The 21,209-nt window shown below is 37.6% G+C and overlaps 1 long non-coding RNA gene across 6 annotated transcripts in view; it reads left to right on the top strand.

Moving 5' to 3' along the window:
• LOC105377177 (uncharacterized) overlaps positions 1-21,209 on the top strand; it is a 250,124-nt gene that overhangs the window by 100,100 nt on the left and 128,815 nt on the right. The window contains exon 1 of one of the 6 annotated variants that reach the window (XR_001740791.3): positions 17,176-17,594. The exons of the other annotated variants lie outside the window; for them this stretch is intronic. This is a non-coding gene — a long non-coding RNA (uncharacterized LOC105377177). Of the gene's footprint in view, positions 1-17,175; positions 17,595-21,209 lie in introns of those variants that run through there. 6 annotated transcript variants of the gene reach the window in all.

Genomic DNA, 21,209 nt, shown 5'->3' with positions numbered 1-21,209 from the left:
TTTTGACAGGGTCTTGCTCTGTTGCCCAGGCTGGAGTGCAGTGGCACGATCTTGTCTCACTGCAACCTCCACCTCCCAGGTTCAAGCAATTCTCCTGCCTCAGCCTCCCAAGTAGCTGGAATTACAGGCGTGTGCCACCATGCCCAGCTAATTTTTGTATTTTTAGTAGAGATGAGGTTTCACCATGTTGGCCAGGCTGGTCTAGAACTCCTGACCTCAGGTGATCCACCCGCCTCGGCCTCCCAAAGTGCTGGGATTACAGATGTGAGCCACCATGCCCGGCCCGATTGCTATTTTTAATTTGCAGTTGAGAAAGTGAAGTAAAGAGAAGTTAAATAACTTCGTTGCACAGTGTTAACACATCTAAGTAGTAAATTGGGAATATGTAAACTTAGGAATTTCAGTTCAGCTATGAATACTTTTAATCACACATCCAGTCCAACTACTATTTTATGGGGGGGGCATAAAATTATTTTTTATTTTTAAAACCCTCATACTTGAAAAGTTTGAAATCCAATACTGTAAAGAATTAAGCACCTAATTATTATTTCACAAATTATTGAAAATTTTGCTACAGTAATTTCCTAATTGGGTTTCAAATAGAGTAGTTTCAGGGAATATTAACAAAGATGCAATGTGAGAAGTTGTTTGTGGTCGTGTAATCTTAGAAAAAAGACTGAAACCGTGTATTAGTTCATTCTCATGCTGCTATATAGGACTGCCCATGAGTGGATATTTAAAGGAAAGAGGTTTAATTGACTCACAGTTCTGCATGGCTGGGGAGGCCTCAGGAAATTCACAATCATGGCAGAAGTGAAAGCGAACACATCTTTCTTCACAAGATGGCAGGAAGGAGAAGTGCTGAGCAAAAGGGGAAAGAAACACTTATAAAACCACCAGACCTCAAGAGAACTCACTATTATGAGAACGGCATGGGGGTAACCACCCCAATGATTCAATTATGTCCCACTGGATCCCTGCCATGACACGTGGGGATTATGGGAACTACAATTCAAGATGAGATTTGGGTGTGAACACAGACAAACCATATCATTATGCCCCAGGCCCCTCTCATATCTCATGTCCTCACATGTCAAAACACAATTAAGCCTTTCCAACACTCCCTCAAAGTCTTAATTCATTTAATCATTAACTCAAATACTCAAGTCCAAAGTCTCATCTCTGACAAGGCAAGTCTCTTCCACCTATGCTCATGAAAAATCAAAAGCAAGTTAGTTACTTCCTAGATGCAATGGGAGTACAGGCATTGGGTGAATATACCTGTTCAAAAGGGGAGATACTGGCCAAAACACGAGGGCTACAGGTCCCATGCAACTCTGAAATTCAAGAGGGCAGTCATTAAACCTTAAAGTTCCAGAATGATTTCCTTTGACTCCATGTCTCACATCCAGGGCACGCTGATGCAAGAGGTGAGCTTACGTGGCCTTGGGTAGCTCCACCCCTGTGACATTTCAGGTTACAGCTCCCCTCTTAGCTGCTTTTGCAGGCTGGCATTGAGTGTCTTTGGGTTTTCCAGGTGCACAATACAAGCTGTTGGTGGATCTACCATTATGGGGCCTAGAGAAAGGTTGCCCTCTTCTCATGGATCCACCAGGCAGTGCCCCAGTGGGGACTCTGTGAGGGGGCCCTGACCCCATTTCCCTTCCCCCCGCCCTAGCAGAAGTTCTCCATGAGAGCTCTGCCTCTGCAATAGACTTCTGCCTCGACATCCAGGTGTTTCCATACATTCTCTGAAATCTAGGCAGAGATTCCCAAACCTTAATTCTTGTCTTCTGCACACATGCAGGACCAACACCATGTGGAAGCTGCCAAGGCTGGAGGCTTGCACCTCTGAAGTAACATTCTGAGCCCCTTTACTTGGCTGGAGTGGCAGGAAAGCAATCCAGAGGCTGCACACAGCAGGGGGGCCCTGGACCTGCTGAAGAAACCATTTTTTCCTCCTAGGCCTCTGGGCCTGTGATGAGAGGGGCTGCTGTGAAGTTCTCTCACATGCCCTGGGGACATTTTCCCCATTGTCTTACTGATTAATATTCAGCTCATCATTACTTATGCAAATTTCTGCATCAGGCTTAAAGTTCTCCCCAGAAAATGGGGTTTTCTTTTCTATTGCATTGTCAGGCTGCAAATTTTCCAATCCTTTATGTTCTGCTTCCTCTTGAATGCTTTGATGCTTAGAAATTTCTTCTGCAAGATACCGTAAATCATCTCTCTCAAGTACAAAGTTTCACAATCTCTAGGGCAGGGGCAACATGCTGCCGGTCTCTTTGCTAAAGCACAAAAACAACCACCTTTGCTCCAGTTCCCAAGAAGTTCCTCATTTCTGCCTGAGACCACCTCAGCTTGGACTTCATTGTCCATATCACTATTAGCATTTTGCTCAAAGCCATTCAACAAGTCTCTAGGAAGTTCCAAACTTGCACATATCATTCTGTCTTCTTTTGAGCCCCGCGAACTGTTCCAGCCTCTGCCTGTTGCCCAGTTCCAAAGTTACCTCTGCATTTTCTGTTATCTTTATCACAGTGCCCCACTTCCAGTACCAATTTACTATATTAGTTTATTCTCACATTGCTATAAAGGACTGCCTGAGACTGGGTAATCTATAAAGCAAAGATGTCTAATTGACTCACAGTTCCACATGGCTGGGGAAGCCTCAGGAAATTTACACTTACCGCAGAAAGTGAGGCAAATGCATCCTTCTTCTTATGATGGCAGGAAGGAGAAGTGCTGAGCAAAAGGGGGAAAAGCCCTTACACAATCATCAGATCTCATGAGAATTCATGATCACAAGAAAAACATGAAGGTAACAACCCCCATGATTCAATTACGTCCCACCAGGTCCCTCCCATGACATGTGGGGATTATGGGAACTACAATTCAAGATGAGATTTGGGTAGGGACACAGCCAAACCATATCATACTGTTATTCACATAGTGGAGATTCACAATGTATATCAGTATATTAAATTATGTGGGGAGCTCAGCATGAATACAACTGTTCTTCATTTTCCTATTTCTGTATTTTCCACTAATTGGAAAATAACTCAAATTTTGGAGTATACTTATTGAATAGTGTTTTTTAGCAGAACAGTTGGGGAAATCAGGATCCAAAGACAGTTTCCAGTCTTTCATTCAATGACTGTCCCAAAGAGCCTCCAAAAGTTTAGCCTTGAGCAGACCTCATTCCTTCTCATTTCTGTGCATTTCTTCACTCTGTTAGCCACTAAATGTATTTTCCACCCCAAATCTAAAATTTACCATCACTTAATGTACTGTTAATTTCCCACATTGTTCAGGAATATTTGACAAAGAAGTCTCCAATTCATGGGAGCCTCCTTTACAAAACTTAATTGGAAAGGAATCACACATTGCCTTGTGACATTCTTACACTCCATGTTCCTGTCTTATTACACAAACTGTAGTATTAGGTCCTGTTCACAACTATGGCTACTTATCCTTTACAAATAATTTACACACTTAATCCAGTTTTTTGTTTGTTTGTTTGTTTTTGCAAATAGTAGGTACTCAAATACGTATTGCTATGATAGAAAATATATTGCTATGTATGCAATGTAACTAAATGTTATTTTGTTAAGACAATATAAATTTTGAGTGCCCAGAGAGAGGGAAGAGTAACAATTTAGTTTTTCTCTTTTAGCTGTATCTATCAGTTTATTCTAGAATCATTTTGATGATAAACAACTCTAAACCTCAGAGACTTCCAACAAAAACAAAAAATGTCTGTATCTATGCTGGGCAGGCTGGAACTCTGCTATGGTTTATTCATAATTTGGAAGCTGAGGCTAAAAGAATAGCCCCTATCTGGGACTTTGCATTTATTATGGCTCAGAAAAAAGAGAACTTGTTGAAACTAATCAATGAACTTGAAAGTTTCTGCTCAGAGGTGCATATAACAGATAACATTTCATAACCAAGCCAGATGTGGATGAGATAAATATAATTCTCTAGGAAGAAAGAAGAAGGCATATTATCTTAAAATAGTGCAATCTACTACAAAATCTAATTTTTGATGCTAAGTAAGCCTTTTGTAAAGTTTGTTTTTGAAACAAAAAGATTGAGTGAAAATATTTTTCTGCATAATAAATGGTGCACATAAAAGCCTGATCGAGTTAAATTTTGAATATATTTTATTCAAAATAGTTATTTACGGAGGTAAAAATATTTTGACTAAAAGCTTTTCTTTTAAGGAAAGTTAGTAACTAAGTAACAAGGCAAAATTTGTCCCTGCTCTATGTCCATTACCAGGATAAGTGTGGTTAAATTAGAAACCATGGAAGTTAATATCTATCTTCACATGAAGTATATATTCTGCTATATGTTCTTGGTAGAGTTAATGGTGAGTAGATTTTATATAACAAATATATCTATTTGGAAATTTAAATAAAACATTGAAATAACATTATATAAAATATATTGATTAGTTTTGGAGTCATTGGTGGTAAAAACACACAATCACTTTTTTTTCTAAATTATGTGCAAAAACACACATTTTTGCCCACACATGAACGTTCAAAATTCACTTGAGAGCTAGATATATAAAGCCTGGGAAGTTCATTACTGCTATTCCCTAGTGATTTGTCTAGAGGAAAAAATTAACAGCATTTCAGAGAAGCATCAAAGTAATGACACTGAAGGTTTTTTTAAATGCTTTTATTCTCACATTCAAAGCTGCAAAAAATAACAAAAACAGTTACGTAGGTCAATGGTGGATAAATTGGCTTGGTGTGACGTTGATCATTCTACAGCCCAATTAAAAAAATGGTAGATGGGGACGGGAGTACAGAATATAACGAGGAGAATGCTGGCATTTTCTGTATCTCAAGAAAAAAATGCAATTGAATTTCCTCATTTATATCAAGTGTCACTAATTAGCCCACATTTCTAGAAAAATTGCTATGTAATCTTTGAATGTTAAAAACAGATACGTGGATAATTAAAACTTAACACCAGCCACTAGTATGCTGTACAACTTTCACAAGGTTTTGCTAGGCATCTGATCTATAAAAGGAGAACAACAATATATTCTGAAGTATTACTACTATGGAGGTTTAGTTTATACTACTTCTAATGTATTAATATTATTTTTATTTCATAAATACGTCAGAAAGTAATTGTATACATACACAGTTGGCTCTCCGTGTCCATGGGTTCTGCACCTGCAGATGCATCCAACCATGGATTAAAAATACTTGAAAAAAAAACAGAGCAATACAAATGAAAAATACCATATAACAACTATTCACATAGCATTTACATTACATTAGGTATTACAAGTAATCAAGAGATGATTTAAAGTACGTGGGAGGATGCGTGTAGGTTATAAGAAATACTGCATCATTTTATGTAAGGGATTTGAACAGCCTTGAATTTTGGCATCGGAAGAGGTTCCTGGAAGCAATTCTCCAGGGATAAAGAGGAAAAATTGTATTAAGTTTAAAACTACTCAATATATTAGATGCATAAATTAGTGAGTACCTTTAAAAAAAAACACTTTACAGTTATAAATTTGAATGGAAATACTTATTTTGATAATTGCTTTTTAAAGTATTTTGAGTACCTATCTATTGCCAATGCTTTTCTGAGGATAAGTTTAAATCATTCATAAATTAGACATCAAAATACCTATTGCATTCTAAAATAAAGTACTAAATATGTAGATTATACCTATATACCTAATATTTTAAAGTATTAAATCTAGAGATTATACCTACATATCCAGATATTATTTATATATGCCTACATATATATACACATATATAGAGATATATATGTAGGTATATATAAATAATGTTATATATTATATATATACCTACATATATATTATATTATATATACCTACATATATATACATATATACATATATACCTACATATATATTATATATACCTACATATATACATATATATGTAGTTATATATATGTAATATATAACATTCAGATATATACATATATACATGTATATGTAGGTATATATATAGTATATAACATTATTCAGAACATTTACAAGCTTAAATGCTTTAGACTTAAATATGTCAAGAGGTTTATGACTTATCAAAAAATTTACTGATGAAATTGAAAAGAATATATGCTTAATTCTTTAAAATCAAAGTTTCTCTCTAAGCTCTGAATTCAATGCTGCTAACATTTTTTCAAATTTCATGTTTTGGTGCCTAAAGTCTGTTGAGTTTAGTGATGGAAACCAAACTCTATTGGACATGACAACCAACTTGATAAGGGTGTAAATCAATCTAGAAAACATGGAAAAAGCTTGACATTTTTGTTCTTTAATTAAGTCATCTGTAGGGTTTTTTTTTTTTTTTTGCTTCAAAGCAATTGCTACCCACTCACATTTTTTAATGCATTTGAGTAAACCTACATTGTTCTCTTAAGCCAACATATTTAAAAGCCATTGAAGCCATTTCTTTTGTTGTTTCAATGTCTTAGGATATAGAATGTTCATATTGAAACCTTTTAATGTTTAAATAAAAGTAGATGCAATAAACGGCCACTCACATTTTCTGATTAATAATAGGGCTTTGAATGAGGGAGAAAATGCCACCCACATACTATTGTCTTTTTCCTGCAGCCTAATCACTCACTTGTATTGTCTTTTCTGATTGATTTGTCATTTGGTGGCAGCCGAACTGTGTGTTTGAAGATCTTTTGTATAGATTTAATCAGGAAATGGAAATCACGTCTTTGATTGACACTAATAATTTATAATCATTTGCCCTAGCTGAAACAGCTGTATCACTTTAAGTTTCTGTAAAAGAAAAGCCCTTTAAATGTCTTTACCTTTTCATTTCAAACCAATTATGTAGGTAGTCATGGGGGAAAAGCTGTCAATTTGGAATAATGTATATTGCATTACAATTTTTAAATAATAAAGTAAAAACATTTCCCTCTTTGTGCATAAGCATACCTTAAATAATTACATTAAAATTTTAAAGTAAAATTCAGAAAGATGCTATTGAGATGCATTTGCTAAAAAATGCTTGCCTTGGTAGTGTGAGTATAATGCAATTTTCAACTATTATAAAAATAAAAGAACATCATATATCATAGAGTTACTTTAATTAAGGCTGAAGTTTTATGTGATTTGAGTTCTCTTAATATGATGCAGAGAAAATGTAGACATGCCCTCCCTAAACTATCAATAGCTAACTTATAGTTACCATAGATTCTGACACCATGTACACTGAGACTTTCTGCTGGGTGCTTTGTTATTTTCAAAATTTTTGTTGTTGTAGTTTATTTATAACTGGGTCATCTTTATTTGATCACTCCCATGTACTTATAGACTTGCATTTATAAGTTGTACAGTAAATATATTTTTGATTGTACATTTGAGTTACATTATGTTAATACATGTGTATCTCTGCTTGCAGAGAAGTATGTATTTCTATACAAGTTAAATATTTGAGGCCATTTGCCTTTATCTATTAGATAGTTCAGTAGACACACCTAGTAACTGCTTGGGGAAAAGGGTAGCCTATGTAGTAATGTTTTTCTTGGTCATATTTACACTACATCTACTTTTAAAATAAATTAATCTCCTTCTCTTCTAATCGTTTCCCAGTCCTATTAGAAATAATTCCTCCCTCTAGATGACAGCAAGATTTTCACATATATAATGCATTCTATCTAGGTCTGTGGATATTTTAACAAGCACTTAATGTTCTTCTCCTTAGGGATCACTGTATACTGCAGATAGGAAATATGTATTTGTTTAACAAATAATAGCATCAATAAATCAGTAACTACATGAATGTGGTGATGCTTCAAGATTCCTCCAAAGTTGATAAGTGTCAAAATGACTGAAACCACTAGAAAGTCGACTGTAATAAAAAAATATTATGAGAGTTGATCATCTGAAATGTTATCTAGCATATTATTTAGGTTTTGAAAGAATATGTATCTGTATTCTTGTTATTTTTGTATTTAATTTTTGGCTGCTTATATATCAGTATATATGGTACATGTTCTCTGTAATATGAAAACTCACATCTACCTTATTTCTTCAGTTTTTAAAAATTATTATATCCGTAGTTTTGGGGGAACAGGTGGTGTTTGGTTACATGGATAAATTCTTTAGTGGTGATTTCTGAGATTTTGGTGCACCTGAGACCCAAGCAGTGCACACTGTACCCAAAGTGTAGTCTTTTATTCCTCACCTCCCCTCACACTTTCCCCCAAGTCCCCAGAGCCCATTATATCATTTTTATGCCTTTGCATCATAATATTTAGCTCCCACTTATAAGTGAGAGCCTATGTTTGGTTTTCCATTCCTGAGTTACTTCAGTTAGAATAATGGTCTCCAACTCCATCCAGGTTGCTTTGAATGCCATTATTTCATTCCTTTACATGGTTGAGTAGTATTCCATGGTGTGTATGGACATACATAACATACATATGTGTGTGTATATATATATATATGTGTGTGTGTGTATATATGTGTATGTATATATGTGTGTATATATGTATATCTTTCATTTGGTTTATCCACTCATTGGTTGATGGGCATTTAGACTGGTTGCATGTTTTTGCAATTGTGAATTGTGCTGCTATAAATATGTGTGTGCAAGTGTCTTTTTCATATAATGACTTATTTTCCTATGGGTAGATATTCAGTAGTGGGATAGTTGGATAAATAGTAGATCTACTTTTAGTTCTTTAAGGAATCTCCATATTGCTTTCCAAAGTTGTTGTTCTAGTTTACATTCCCACCAGTAGTATAAAACTGTTCCCTTTTCACCTCATCCATGCAAACTTCTATTATTTTTTTATTTTTAAATTATGGCTATTCTTGCAGAAGTAAGTTGGTATTGCATTGTGGTTTTGATTTGCATTTCCCTGATAATTAGTGATGTGGAACATCTTTTCATATGTTTATTGACCATTTGTATATTAAAGAGATGGATTATTATCTTCTAAGCAATCACGGAACATTAAGAAGTTTGGGAATCGGGGATGAATGCTCAGGCAGATTGCTGAATTACTTGAACATTTCTGATAGAAAAAAATTCATGTTCTTTACAACAATCCACATATTCTTATTTCATAAATATTTTTAATGAAACAAGCTTAGTTAAAACATTACAGACTATGAGACAATTGTAATTTCAGCATTTTTTCCTGTGTCATTTCTAGGTTTTCATATCTACATTTTTCATCTAGATATGCTTTTCTCTTTGAAAAACAAGTATTTTTGAAAACAGTATTTTCACTTGAGAGAGGAGGAGAGTCAGGCTTCATGTTTGATTCACAGAGTCACCTCAATTCAACAAATGTTTGGACTTATGAAAATTACACTTCGGTCTCCAGGCATATTTTCCACAGGGATTTCGGATGCTATCTTTAAGCTCTTTGTGAAAAATCAATAGCTTTTGCAGTTTCATGAGATTCAGAACAATCTTTATTTCAAACATAGAGTGTATCTGAGGATGTTCAGTTGGCACAATGAATATATAAAGTAAAAACAGGTATAAGAAAACAACTCATGAAAACATGGGAGATGGAGGTAAATTGTATACGGGATTCCATCAATTATCATAAAATACTCAATTATAAGAAATAATACAGATTGCTTGTGAGTCTTTTACTCACTTTTCTCCAATGGCGCCATCTTGTAAAACTATAGTACAATATTATAGCAGGGATACTGACATTGATACAGTCAAAATATAGAATAATTCCATCACCACAGGGATACTTTCTGTCACTGTTTCATAGTCACATCAACTTTTGTCTGCTTATCTCTAACCCTTGGCAAGCATGAATCAGTTCTCCATTTCTACAATGTTGTCATTTTAATAATGCTACATAAATGGAACCTTACAATAAGTAAACTTTGGGATTGATTTATTCAATTCAGCGTAATTCCATGGAAATTCATCCAAGATGATTCACATGTCCTAATTTGTTCTTTCATATTACTAAGGAGTATTTCATGGTATGAATATACCACAGTTTTTAAACAGTTCACTCATTGAAGGACATCTGGGTTGGTTCTAGTTGTTGGCTATTATGAAAAAAAATGTGTCCCTTTTCTTGTCTTTTTTGGGGTTACTAGAATATTTGAGGGAATTCTGTCTTGATATAGTTTCTTTAGTAGTTGTTCTGTACATTGCAATTCACATATGCTATGTATCACAGTCAACCGGTATCAACATTTTATCACTCTGAGTGGGGTGTGGAAGCCTTACTTCATTTAGATCCACTTACCTTACCCACTATTAAATATCATTATCTTGAGATTTGATTGTGTTATATAATTTTTGTTTCAGTCATCACATATTATTTTTTCAAACTTAGGAGGAGGATGGTTAGTTGTACTTACACATATTTCTACTTGTTTAATTGTTATTTCTTCTCTGATGCTTTGAGATTCCTATTTTCTCCTTTCTTTGTGTTGCAAGAACATCATTTAGTCATTCTTTAAGAGTAGGTCTGATAGTACAAATTCTTGTAGGTTTTTTTTTGTCTGAGAATGTTATTATTTCCCCCGTGTTTTTGAAGGATAGTTTCAAAAGTTACAGAATATCCACAATTGATAGTTCTTTTCTAACATCACTGGAATGAATATGCCACTTCCTCCTGGTTTTAGATGAGAAATCCAGTCATGAGACTTGATGATGTTCCCCTATAAGTCACATGTCATTTATCTATGGCTGCTTTTAAGACTTTTTTTTTTGTCTTTATTTCAGAAGCTGAGTTATAATATTTCTTGGTATGTTAGCTTGTTCTTGCATTGCTATAAAGAATTACCTGAGATTGGGTAATTTATTCAGAAAAGAGGTTTAACTGACTCACAGTTCTGCAGGATGTACAGGAAGCACGGCTTGGGAGGCCTTCAAGAAACGTATAATCATCGCAGAAGGCAAAGGGGAAACGGGCACATTTAACACGGCTGGAGAAGGAGGAAGAGAGGGAGGGGGCAAGTGCTCTATACATTTAAACAACCAGATCTCAAGAGAACTCACTCACTATCAAGAGAACAGCACTCGGGGAAATCCGCCCTCCTGATCTTATCACCTTCCACCAGGCCCCAGCCCCAACACTGGGGATTACAATTCAAGATGAGATTTTGGCAGGGATGCGACTTGGTGTGCATTTCGTTGGTTTTACTTTGTTTCAGGTTTGCGTGTTGCATGCGTGGGTTTATGTCTTTCACGAGATTGGGGAAAGTTTAAGTTTTCAGTCATTATTTTCTTTGGCTGATCTCTTTTTGTTTGTTTGTTTTGTTTTGTTTTGTTTTGAGCCGAAGTCTGGCTCTGTCGCCCAGGCTGGAGTGCAGTGGCGCGATCTCGGCTCACTGCAAGCTCCGCCTCCCGGGTTCACGCCATTCTCCTGCCTCAGCCTCCAGAGTAGCTGGGACTACAGGCGCCCGCCACCACGCCCGGCTAATTTTTTGTATTTTTAGTAGAGATGGGGTTTCACCGTGTTAGACAGGATGGTCTCGATCTCCTGACCTCGTGATGCGCCCGCCTCGGCCTCCCAAAGTACTGAGATTACAGGTGTGAGCCACCGCGCCCGGCCGGCTGATCTCATGCTCCAGTCTTTTGTTTCTTTCAGAGCCTTCATAGTACAAATGTTGGAAAATTTGCTATTGTCTCACTGTTTCTGAGGCTCCGCTCTTTTTGTTTTTTCTTTCTTTTCTTTTCTTTTCTTTTCTTTTCTTTTTTTTTTTCCTGAGGCTCTGTTTCTTTTTTCAGTCTTCTTTTTTTCCTCTGTTGTTCAGATTGGGTAAATTACATTGTTTTGCCCAAAAGTTCATTGATTCTATTCTCTGTCATCTTTACTCTGCTGTTAACCAAAATAACACATTCTTATAATTTATCTCGTTTTTCAAATTGAAATAATTTCAATTTAGTTCACTTTAAAATTTATATTTCTTTGCTAAGATTTTCTATTTTTTCACATCAAGATAATTTTTAATTGTTTGTTTACATATTTTTTGATAGCTGCTTTCATCTCAGTGATGGCTTCATTTGATTGTCTTTTCTTTCTCAAGTTGACATTTTTTTTCAGTCCCTAGTATGATGAGTGATTCTCAAGTGATTCTCAACTTTACTTTGGACATTTTGGCTATTGTGTTCAGAGACTCTGGATCCTATTCATTCTTTTCTTAATAATTTTAGCAGGCTGTTTATCACACAGATCCTGACCCATTTTTGTGGGCTGTGGGCTGTGGTCCCTTTGTAAATCTAATTTCCAGAACTTTGCTTTGCTATTTGGTTTTTTGCGTTTTGTCTTAGGCATCTGGGGCTTCCACTGCTTCTTGCAGAGGAGGTGGCAGGAGTTTCTCCAGTGGAGAAACTAGCAGGCTAGCAAGGGGGATTATGCTACAAGTGCCTGGAACTAGGAAGCAACCCCTCCTTCCCCACCGGGTCCAACACTCCCAAATCCCACCAGAAGGAAAGGGTAAATAATTCCGGAAGAAATCTTATTCTTCAAATTGTCCTTGCAGGTTCCTCCTGCAAGGATGATTCCTGAAGAAATCTTCATACTTTTGAGATGGGAAATCTTTTCTCTAACTTAGAGGCAGTGGTGGGTTTATTTTTCATTTGAATCCCTAAAATCTAACAATTTATACATCATATATTAATTTTATTTCCATTCCTTTTTCTCTTATTCTGTGTTAGACAGCTTGACATAGTTTAATATACCATATAATTTAGCACTTAAACAACCATATGAGGAAAATTCTCTTGAGAACCTCAGTTCTAAAAGGGAACAGAGAGGGCTGTCACATGGAATACAAAGGAAAATGAAGGGAGAGTTTCCATGAGTTTACTTTCACAACATAATAAACTGATATGAATTTATTAGCTTTCCCTTTGTAGATGAGGGGCAAATGGTTTTCTAGTTCCCTGCACAAAAAGAGGAGATGGAAGATAATTTGGATTTAGAGCAGGTGGGCATGAGATGGCAAAGGCTTCAACTAAATAGGGAAGTCCAAGGGAAATAAAGGAGTAGGAGCAGACAGGACTAAGGAAAAATGAAGATGCAGCTGCAACATTTTTAAAAAAATATTCAGCCTTTACACTTTCATCTGGTCACTTTAGGTTCTTCATCCCAGTGCACCACGCAGTAATGAATCACTTTCAGATGATAATCACAGTTGTTTGGGATTCTCTTGTGCCTGTCTTGGGAAATGCATTATAATTATTAGTACTGAAATAATCATAACTCAAATAAAATGTTTTCTCAAAAGGTAGTTTTTTTTTTTTTGTATTTTGCTGTCAGTTATATAACTCATTCTCACTCTAGCCATTTCAACTGTATCGTCTGGGATACATTCAAAAAGCAACACTCCCTTGTAAGCCCATAAATTTAGATTGATCACATCACATTCTTCTGTCAAGGCAAGCCCTTGTCTCCCTCATTCCAGCTTCTTACACCTGTATTCTGTTGCATTTGTTTCAGTTTCCCACTCCATTTGTATGCTGTTTATTCCTTATTGGGTAACATAACATAAAATGTCACTTTAATTCCTTTTTGGGTAATATAAATATAAAATGTTAAAGATATGTGCACTGCTTCCACATACTCTGGGCTCTAAGACATGTTTCCTGGCCTGCTAAAATGTAAGTCAGTGATCTCTTTTGGTAGACAATTTAGAATTTTAGTTTATATTGTTGTATTTGCCATAGATTCTGTGGTAGGCATTATTCACAGGAGCTCCCCAAGGCTTCCTGTTCCTTGTCCTACATAATCCCTGGGACTGTTCATATGATGGGGTTTACTCCCATGATTATGGTATATGGCATAGGTGACATTTAGAAAGAAAGATTATCTGCATGTGCCTAATTTGATCACATAAATCCTTTAAAGAGTTTGCCTTATACTGGCTGTGGAAGAAGTCAGAGAGCTTGAGACAGATTTCTTGTGAGAGAGATTCTCCCCAGCTGAGATGAAGAGGGGCCATTACTATTGAACTCATTTGAAAGTGGTGGAACCGAGAGAAGTGCTAGACCCACAGCCAGCAGCACAATGGGGACTTTTGGGTTAATGCTGAAATTAGTTAGTTAGTTAGTTAGTTAGACTTTGGGGTACTATTGGGAAGGCATGATTGGTTTTGAAATATGAGGACATGAGATTTGGAGGGGCCAGAAGCGGAATGATAATGGTTTGGCTGTGTCTCCAACCAAATCTCAACTTGAATTGTATCTCCCAGAATTCCCACATGTTGTGGGAGGGACCCAGGAGGAGGTAACTGAATCATGGGGGCTGGAAAGTTCCACAACTGCAAGGAAATAAATTCTGTCAACAGTCCGAAGAAGCATTCCCTAGTCCAGCTTCCGTATGAGAACAAGGCTGGTGAACACTTGAACCAGATACCCAACTAAAATGTGCCACACTGTAGCCCATGGAAACTATAGAATAATGATTTTCTATTTTTTTTTAAACTTCAAACTTTGTGACAATTCACCATTCAGTAAGAGAAGTCTAAGCAAGTTCAATTACAGAGTAGGCTCTATCAGCTGAAGCTCAAACCCGTTGAAGTATCAGTACTAGTCAAAATTGACTTTAAACATGCTGATGTTCTCTGGATCTTTCCACAGACTGAAGGCAAATGTGTCATTGCTGATAAAATGCCAGAAAATTCTGAACACTGGGCATGGCTTTAGATTACAGCAGGGGAGTATACTGCCATTGAACCTTTAGCACATTGTGTGCACTGGCATCTGCTCATCTCATTGCTGCAAATAATTGCCACCTACACAGGCTGCAGTAAAGGATCAATTGTTTTGTTCCAGTCTCCAGCAATTCCCTCCTACAGATGTGACTGGTTTGTTAACATTGACATAAAAAGGCCATGATGTTGCCTATTCCCAAACAAGATCCCTTTTAACGCTCTATTCCTTCCGGCCCAATTTCAGAATCATAATACGTGAATTGGATAAGTACAGAGAGCCACACTGCTTTAAATCCAGCTTGTTGGACTGATTTGCATGGGTCTTTCTGCAGCTGAACAGATGGTTTTACACTTGTGAGCTTAATTCTTCTCAGTTAATCAACCATTGCCATAGGTAAATTGGCTCAAAAACACTATCTAAAATTCAGAGGCCCATACAGTTAATATCAAATTCTTTTTACATATTATTGAAATATAATTATTTTAAGTACCTCAGTTTTCTTAAAATATTTTTTTAGAATCATGCAAGAGATGACTGACTTTGTTCTCTTAGTGTTATTTAACATCCTTTGGTGGTAAGTACAGTTCTGCCTATTCTTAAATAACTGCCTAATTGTCTATTTAAAATACACTACTGAAAGGTGTCTTCAAGCAACTCTCAGGTGAAATAGCCTAGCTTCTGTTGCTGTAGAACTGCTTTCCTGGAGCCTTCATTCAGTTTGTAGCTTTGTAGTTGATACTTCAAATATTATAAGATCACTGGTGTTATATTAGGCCAGTTTCACACTGCTGATAAAGATATACCCAAGACTGGGAAGAAAAGGAGGTTTAATAGGACTTATAGTTCCACATGGCTGGGGAGGCCTCAAATATCATGGCAGGAGGTGAAAGATACTTCTTACCTGGCGGCACCAAGAGAAAATGAAGAAGAAGCAAAAGCAGAAACTCCTGATAAACCCATCAGATCTCATGAGACTTATTCACTACCCTGGGAATAGCATGGAAAAGCCCAGTCCCCATGATTCAATTACCTCCCCCTGGGTCCCTACCACAACATATGGGAATTCTGGGCGATAAAATTCAAGTTGAGATTTGATTGGAGACACAGCCAAACCATATCATTCTGCTCCTGGCCCCTCCAAATCTCATGTCCTGATATTTCAAAACCAATCATGCCTTCCCAAGGGTACCCCAAAGTCTTAACTTATTTCAACAATAACTCAAAAGTCCACAATCTAAGGTCTCATCTGAGACAAGGCAAGTCTCTTCCACCTATAAGCCTGTAAAATCAAAACAAGCTAGTTACTTCCTGGATACAATGTGGGTACAGGTATTAGGTAAATACAGCTGTTCCAAATGGGAGAAATTGGCTAAAACAAAGGGGTTACAGGGCCCTGCAAGTCCAAAATCCAGCAGGGCAGCCAAATCTTAAAGCTCCAAAATGATCTCCTTTGACTCCGTGTCTCACATCCAGGTCACGCTGATGCAAAAGGTAGGTTCCCATGGTCTTGGGTAGCTCCATCCCTGTGGCTTTGCAGGGTACAGTCTCCCTCCTGGCTGCTTTCACAGGCTGACATTGAGTGTGTGTGGCTTTTCCAGGCCCATGGTTCAAGCTGTTGGTGGTTTTACCATTCTGGGGTCTGGAGGATGGTGGACCTCTTCTCACAGCTTCAGGGGGCAACACCCCAGTAAGGATTCTGTGTGGGGCCTCCAACCCCACATTTCCCTGCCACGCTGCCCAAGCAGATGTTCTCCATGAGGGTCCCGCCCCTGCAGCAAACTTTCACCCAGGCACCCAAGCATTTCCATACATCTTCTGAAATCTAGGTGGAGATTCTTGACTTCTGTGCACCCACAGGCTCAACACCACATGGAAGCTGCCAAGGCATGGGGCTTATACCCTCTGAAGTCATAGCCTGAGCTGTATGTTGGCCCTTTTCAGCCACAGCTGGAGTGGCTGGGACACAGGGCACCAAGTCCCTAGGCTGCACATAGCATGGGGACCCTGGGCCCAGCCCATGAAACCACTTTTTCCTCCTGGGCCTCCAGGCCTGTGATGAGGGGGGCTGCTGGGAAGGTCTCTGACATGGCCTGGAGATGTTTTCCTCATGGTCTTGGGGATTAACATTAGGCTCCTTGATACTTATGCAAATTTCTGCTGCCGGCTTGAATTTCTCCCCAGAAATGGGTTTTTCTTTTTTATCCCATAGTCAGGCTGCAAATTTTCTGAGCTTTTATGCTCTGTTTCCCTTTTAAAACTGAATGTCTTTAACAGTACCCAAGCCACCTCCTGAATGCTTTGCTGCTTGGAAATTTCTTCCACCAGATACCCTAAATCATCTCTCTTAAGTTCGTAGTTCCACAAATCTCTAGGGCAGAGGCAAAATGCCACCATATTCTTTGGTAAAACATAACAAGAGTCACCTTTGCTCCAGGTCCCAACAAGATCCTCATTTCCATCTGAGACCACCTCAGCCTGGATTTTATTGTCCATATATCACTATCAGCATTTTGAGCAAAGCCATTCAACAAGTCTCTAGGAAGTTCAAAACTTTCCCGCATTTGCCTGCTTCCTTCTGAGTCCTTCAAACTGTTCCAATCTCTGCCTGTTACCCAGTTAAAACGTTGCTTCCACATTTGCAGGTATCTTTTCAGCAACACCCCACTCTACTGGTACCAATTTACTGTATTAGTCCATTTCCACACTGCTGATAAAGACATACCTGAGACTGGGAAGAAAAAGAAGTTTAATTGGACTTACAGTTCCACATAGCTGATGAGGCCTCAGAATCATGGCTGGAGGTGAAGGGCACTTCTTACACGGCAGCAGCAAGAGAAAATGAGGAAGAAGCAAAAGCGGAAACCCCTGGTAAACCCATCAGATCTCATGATAAATTATCACAAGACTAACACGGTAAAGACCAGCCCCCATGATTCAATTACCTCCCCCTGGGACCCTGCCACAATATGTGGGAATTCTGGGAGACACAATTCAAGTTGAGATTTGGGTGGGGACACATACAAACCATATCACTGGGCTCCACGAGATGCATAAGGGATGCTTGCTCTAAAAGTTTTATAGATTCACCCAATGACCACTGCAACACTGTTCACTTCAGTTTAAAAAAAACACTTTATTATCTTTTAAATTGGTACTTAGGTTCTAATAATTGGTGTAGGTCTTAGAAATTATTTCTTCAAACTCTAAATATTCTTACTACCTCTGTGTTTCATTCTCATCTCTGAATGTTTTCAGTGATCAACAATTTATGGTTTACCTTGCTAGACTATCCCTAAGTGGCCTATCAGCTCCAGTCCAAGGTAGACATAGCAAGGTAATTTGTGAAATGATCCACATATTCTTATATTTTAATCAGAACAATCTGACAAACTAAAAATATGTTTTGATACTTTTACCAGATCAAAACGCTTTTCTGCCTCTGTCCAACTTACTACCTTATTATCAGCATAATGGATAACCATACAAATGATGAACATCTCTATCAGAATTCTTTACTAGTTTAGAAAATTCTTTACTACTTGAGAAAATAATAAGAAATAATAAGCGTACTTGAGGCAGGCCTGTAACAATGTGCGGCATTCCTTCTGGTGGAAAAGCAGATTGCTCTATCTTTGCAAAAGAGATGAAAAAGAAGCTGTCAGTAAGTTCTATCTAAAAAGACATTTTCCTTGAGTTTGCTAAACTTTGCTTTCTACGGTGGGTGAAAGGCAGCCTCTAAGATGGCCACCCATGATCCCTGTCTTCTGCTATCGATTCTCCTGTAGAAACTTCTTCTGTGGCAGATGGAATGAACTTACTGACTGGCTTCTAAAAATTACAGCAAAGTGATGACACTTCACTTCTGAAGTCATGTCTGTAAAGATATTAGATTCTGTATTGTTGTTTCTCCTTTCTTCTACCTCTAGTGTTGGGAGAAGCAAGGTGCTACATTGCTGTGAATGGCCCTATGCAGAGGCCCATGTGAGACACTGATGCCTTAGCCCTAAAGCCCAGGAGGAACAAAGGAAGCTATGAGTGAGCATAGAAGTGAATCCTTCAGACCTAGTCAAGACTTGAGATGCTTGATTACTGGTCAACAGCTTGCTACAATCTATAGAAAATTTTAGGTCAGAAACACCCAACTAAGCTATGCCTTGATTTTTGACACAGAAATTGAGAGATAAGAAATGTTTGTCATTTAAGCTGCTACATTTTAGAGTATCTTCTTACACAGGAATTCAGAACTAATACAGTCACAATCACATATCTGGAGAAATGACTATTGTTCTCTTTATGTAATTTCATCTCGTTGCTGTTCTTGCTTACTAGCTAACCAAGGCTATAATACAAGATTTATGCAGTCACCATTTTTGCAATAAAAGTCTTACTTTTTATTTCTCCAAGAGTATGTAATGGTGAGAATAAATCTTCCTCCAGGTTTATAGTAGTTAGGGTAAACTTAGCTTTTATCTTAACTACTATGCTTTTACCTCACTTAGCTTTTACCTTAATAACAAGAACAACAACAAAAAGTGATTATAAAATGTAATGGCTTAAATAAGATAGAAGGTTCTTGTTATTGTTGCTGTTTTTCCTTTTACTTCATAGTCTGGAAGTTAGTGGCTCTATTTGGAGGATTATCTCAATTTCAGAAAGACTGTAAGGGTCCCAAGCTCTTTTTATCTCCTCACCAAATAGTCTCCTATTCATGTGGACACTGTCTTCCGTATCCATATCTATATGCACAAAAGGAAAACGAAAGGAAAGAAGAGCATCCATATGTTACAATCAAGACGCAAAAGTGGCATGTACCAACCCAGCTTTTATCACATGATATGAAAGGAGCTGGAAATTGTAGTCCACGCTTAGGTGTATGAGCAACATTCAACTATTATCATAAAAAGTAACACAAAACAGACATTGAACAACAATTAGAAGTCTGTCAGAGAATTTGCAATGTTTCATATTATCCACAGTCTGTATCTTTGATGCAACCTCACTCCACAAAACCAATTAAATATCAGGAAGGAAGATATTATAACCTGTTCATTTAGATAAGAGTGGCATTTAAAAAAACATATTCATTATGTACACATCAATAGTATTCCATCATTGAAATTACAACAAATTCCTTGGAATACATGTTAGCAATTTGTGTATGTAGTGCTTCCTTTTACCCCACATCCACAGATAGGCTTTTGGAACCCTGCAACCTTTATCACAGTGACTGGGAATGATTGCATATGCACTATCAGTATTTAGAATCCCGAGGAAGCACTCCTCTTTATTCCCAACCCAACTTACCTTGACCCAGTATACAGCCTTTTTTATTTTCCCGGATACGTAGTTAGGAAATCCTGGTCTTATCAATTACAGAATTATGGTTATTTATTGCTGTATAACAAACAACCACAAGCTAAGGCTTAGAATAAAAAATTTAATACTAACTTTTATATTTCTGTAGATTTTACTCAGCCCAACAGTTCTTGTGTATGATCTGCAATGTGTTCGCTCTCAGATGATGGCTAAAGCTGCAGTCTTTTGAAGGCTCGAATTGGCCAGATGAGCCAAGACAGCTTTCATAGCAACATACATGTCTGGAACTTCAGATGGTGTGGTAGAATAGTGCCCCTTTCACACCAGAAATAAATGGCATACCTAATAATCCCTGCACCATGTGAATATTTCACAAAAGGGATTTTCCACATGTGATTATCTAAAGGATCTTAAAATGAAGAATATTCTGGACTATCTGGGTGGACTGATATAATCACAAGGGTCCTTAAAAGAGAGGGGCAAGACAGAGGGGGGAAATAAAAGGTGTGACTAAGCAGCAGAGGTTGAAGAGATGCCATTATTGGGAAGTGGCCTAAGGAGCTAAGAAATGCAGGGAGCCTCTAGATTCTAGAAAAGACAGAGAAAGAGACCTACCTCTCAAAGTCTCCAGAAGGAATCGGCCTTACTGACACCTTGACTTTAGCCTACAGTTACACATTTTTACTTCTGATCTTCACAATTTTAAGATAATAAATTGTGTTGTTTTAAGCCACTGAATTTGCAGTAATTTGTTATAGCAGCAATGAGAAACTAATTCTAATGTAAGGAGTGGAACAATTGGGTTCTCTCTCTTGCTCTATGAGGCCATTCCATATGACAGTCTTGGGCTCTTTTGCAGGGAGTTACTCTCAGGTCAATAGGACTTTAAACTTGGCAGTTGGCTACTCCCCAGTGTTCCTAGACATTAGGAAACAGAAGTCCCTGTTACTCTTCATTCTGTTTTCATTTTTCTTTTTTTTTTTTTTTGAGATAAGGTCTTGCTGTGTTGCTCAAGTTATCCTCCCACCTCAGCCTCCCAAAGCACTGGGATTAGAGACATGATCCACTGTGCCCCTCCCCACTTACTCTCAAATGCTAGAACTGAAACTGGCACAGCAAGGCTCGGACACATTCTGTTAGTTATAGAGTAGTCACAGGTCTGAGGCAAATTCAGCTTTTGGTGGAGGACATCCATCTTTAACCTACCCTCTG

The sequence above is a fragment of the Homo sapiens genome, chromosome 3 (genome assembly GCF_000001405.40).
Source record: "Homo sapiens chromosome 3, GRCh38.p14 Primary Assembly".
Taxonomy (NCBI): Eukaryota; Metazoa; Chordata; class Mammalia; order Primates; family Hominidae; genus Homo; species Homo sapiens.
This window is presented reverse-complemented; position numbering and strand designations above follow the sequence as displayed.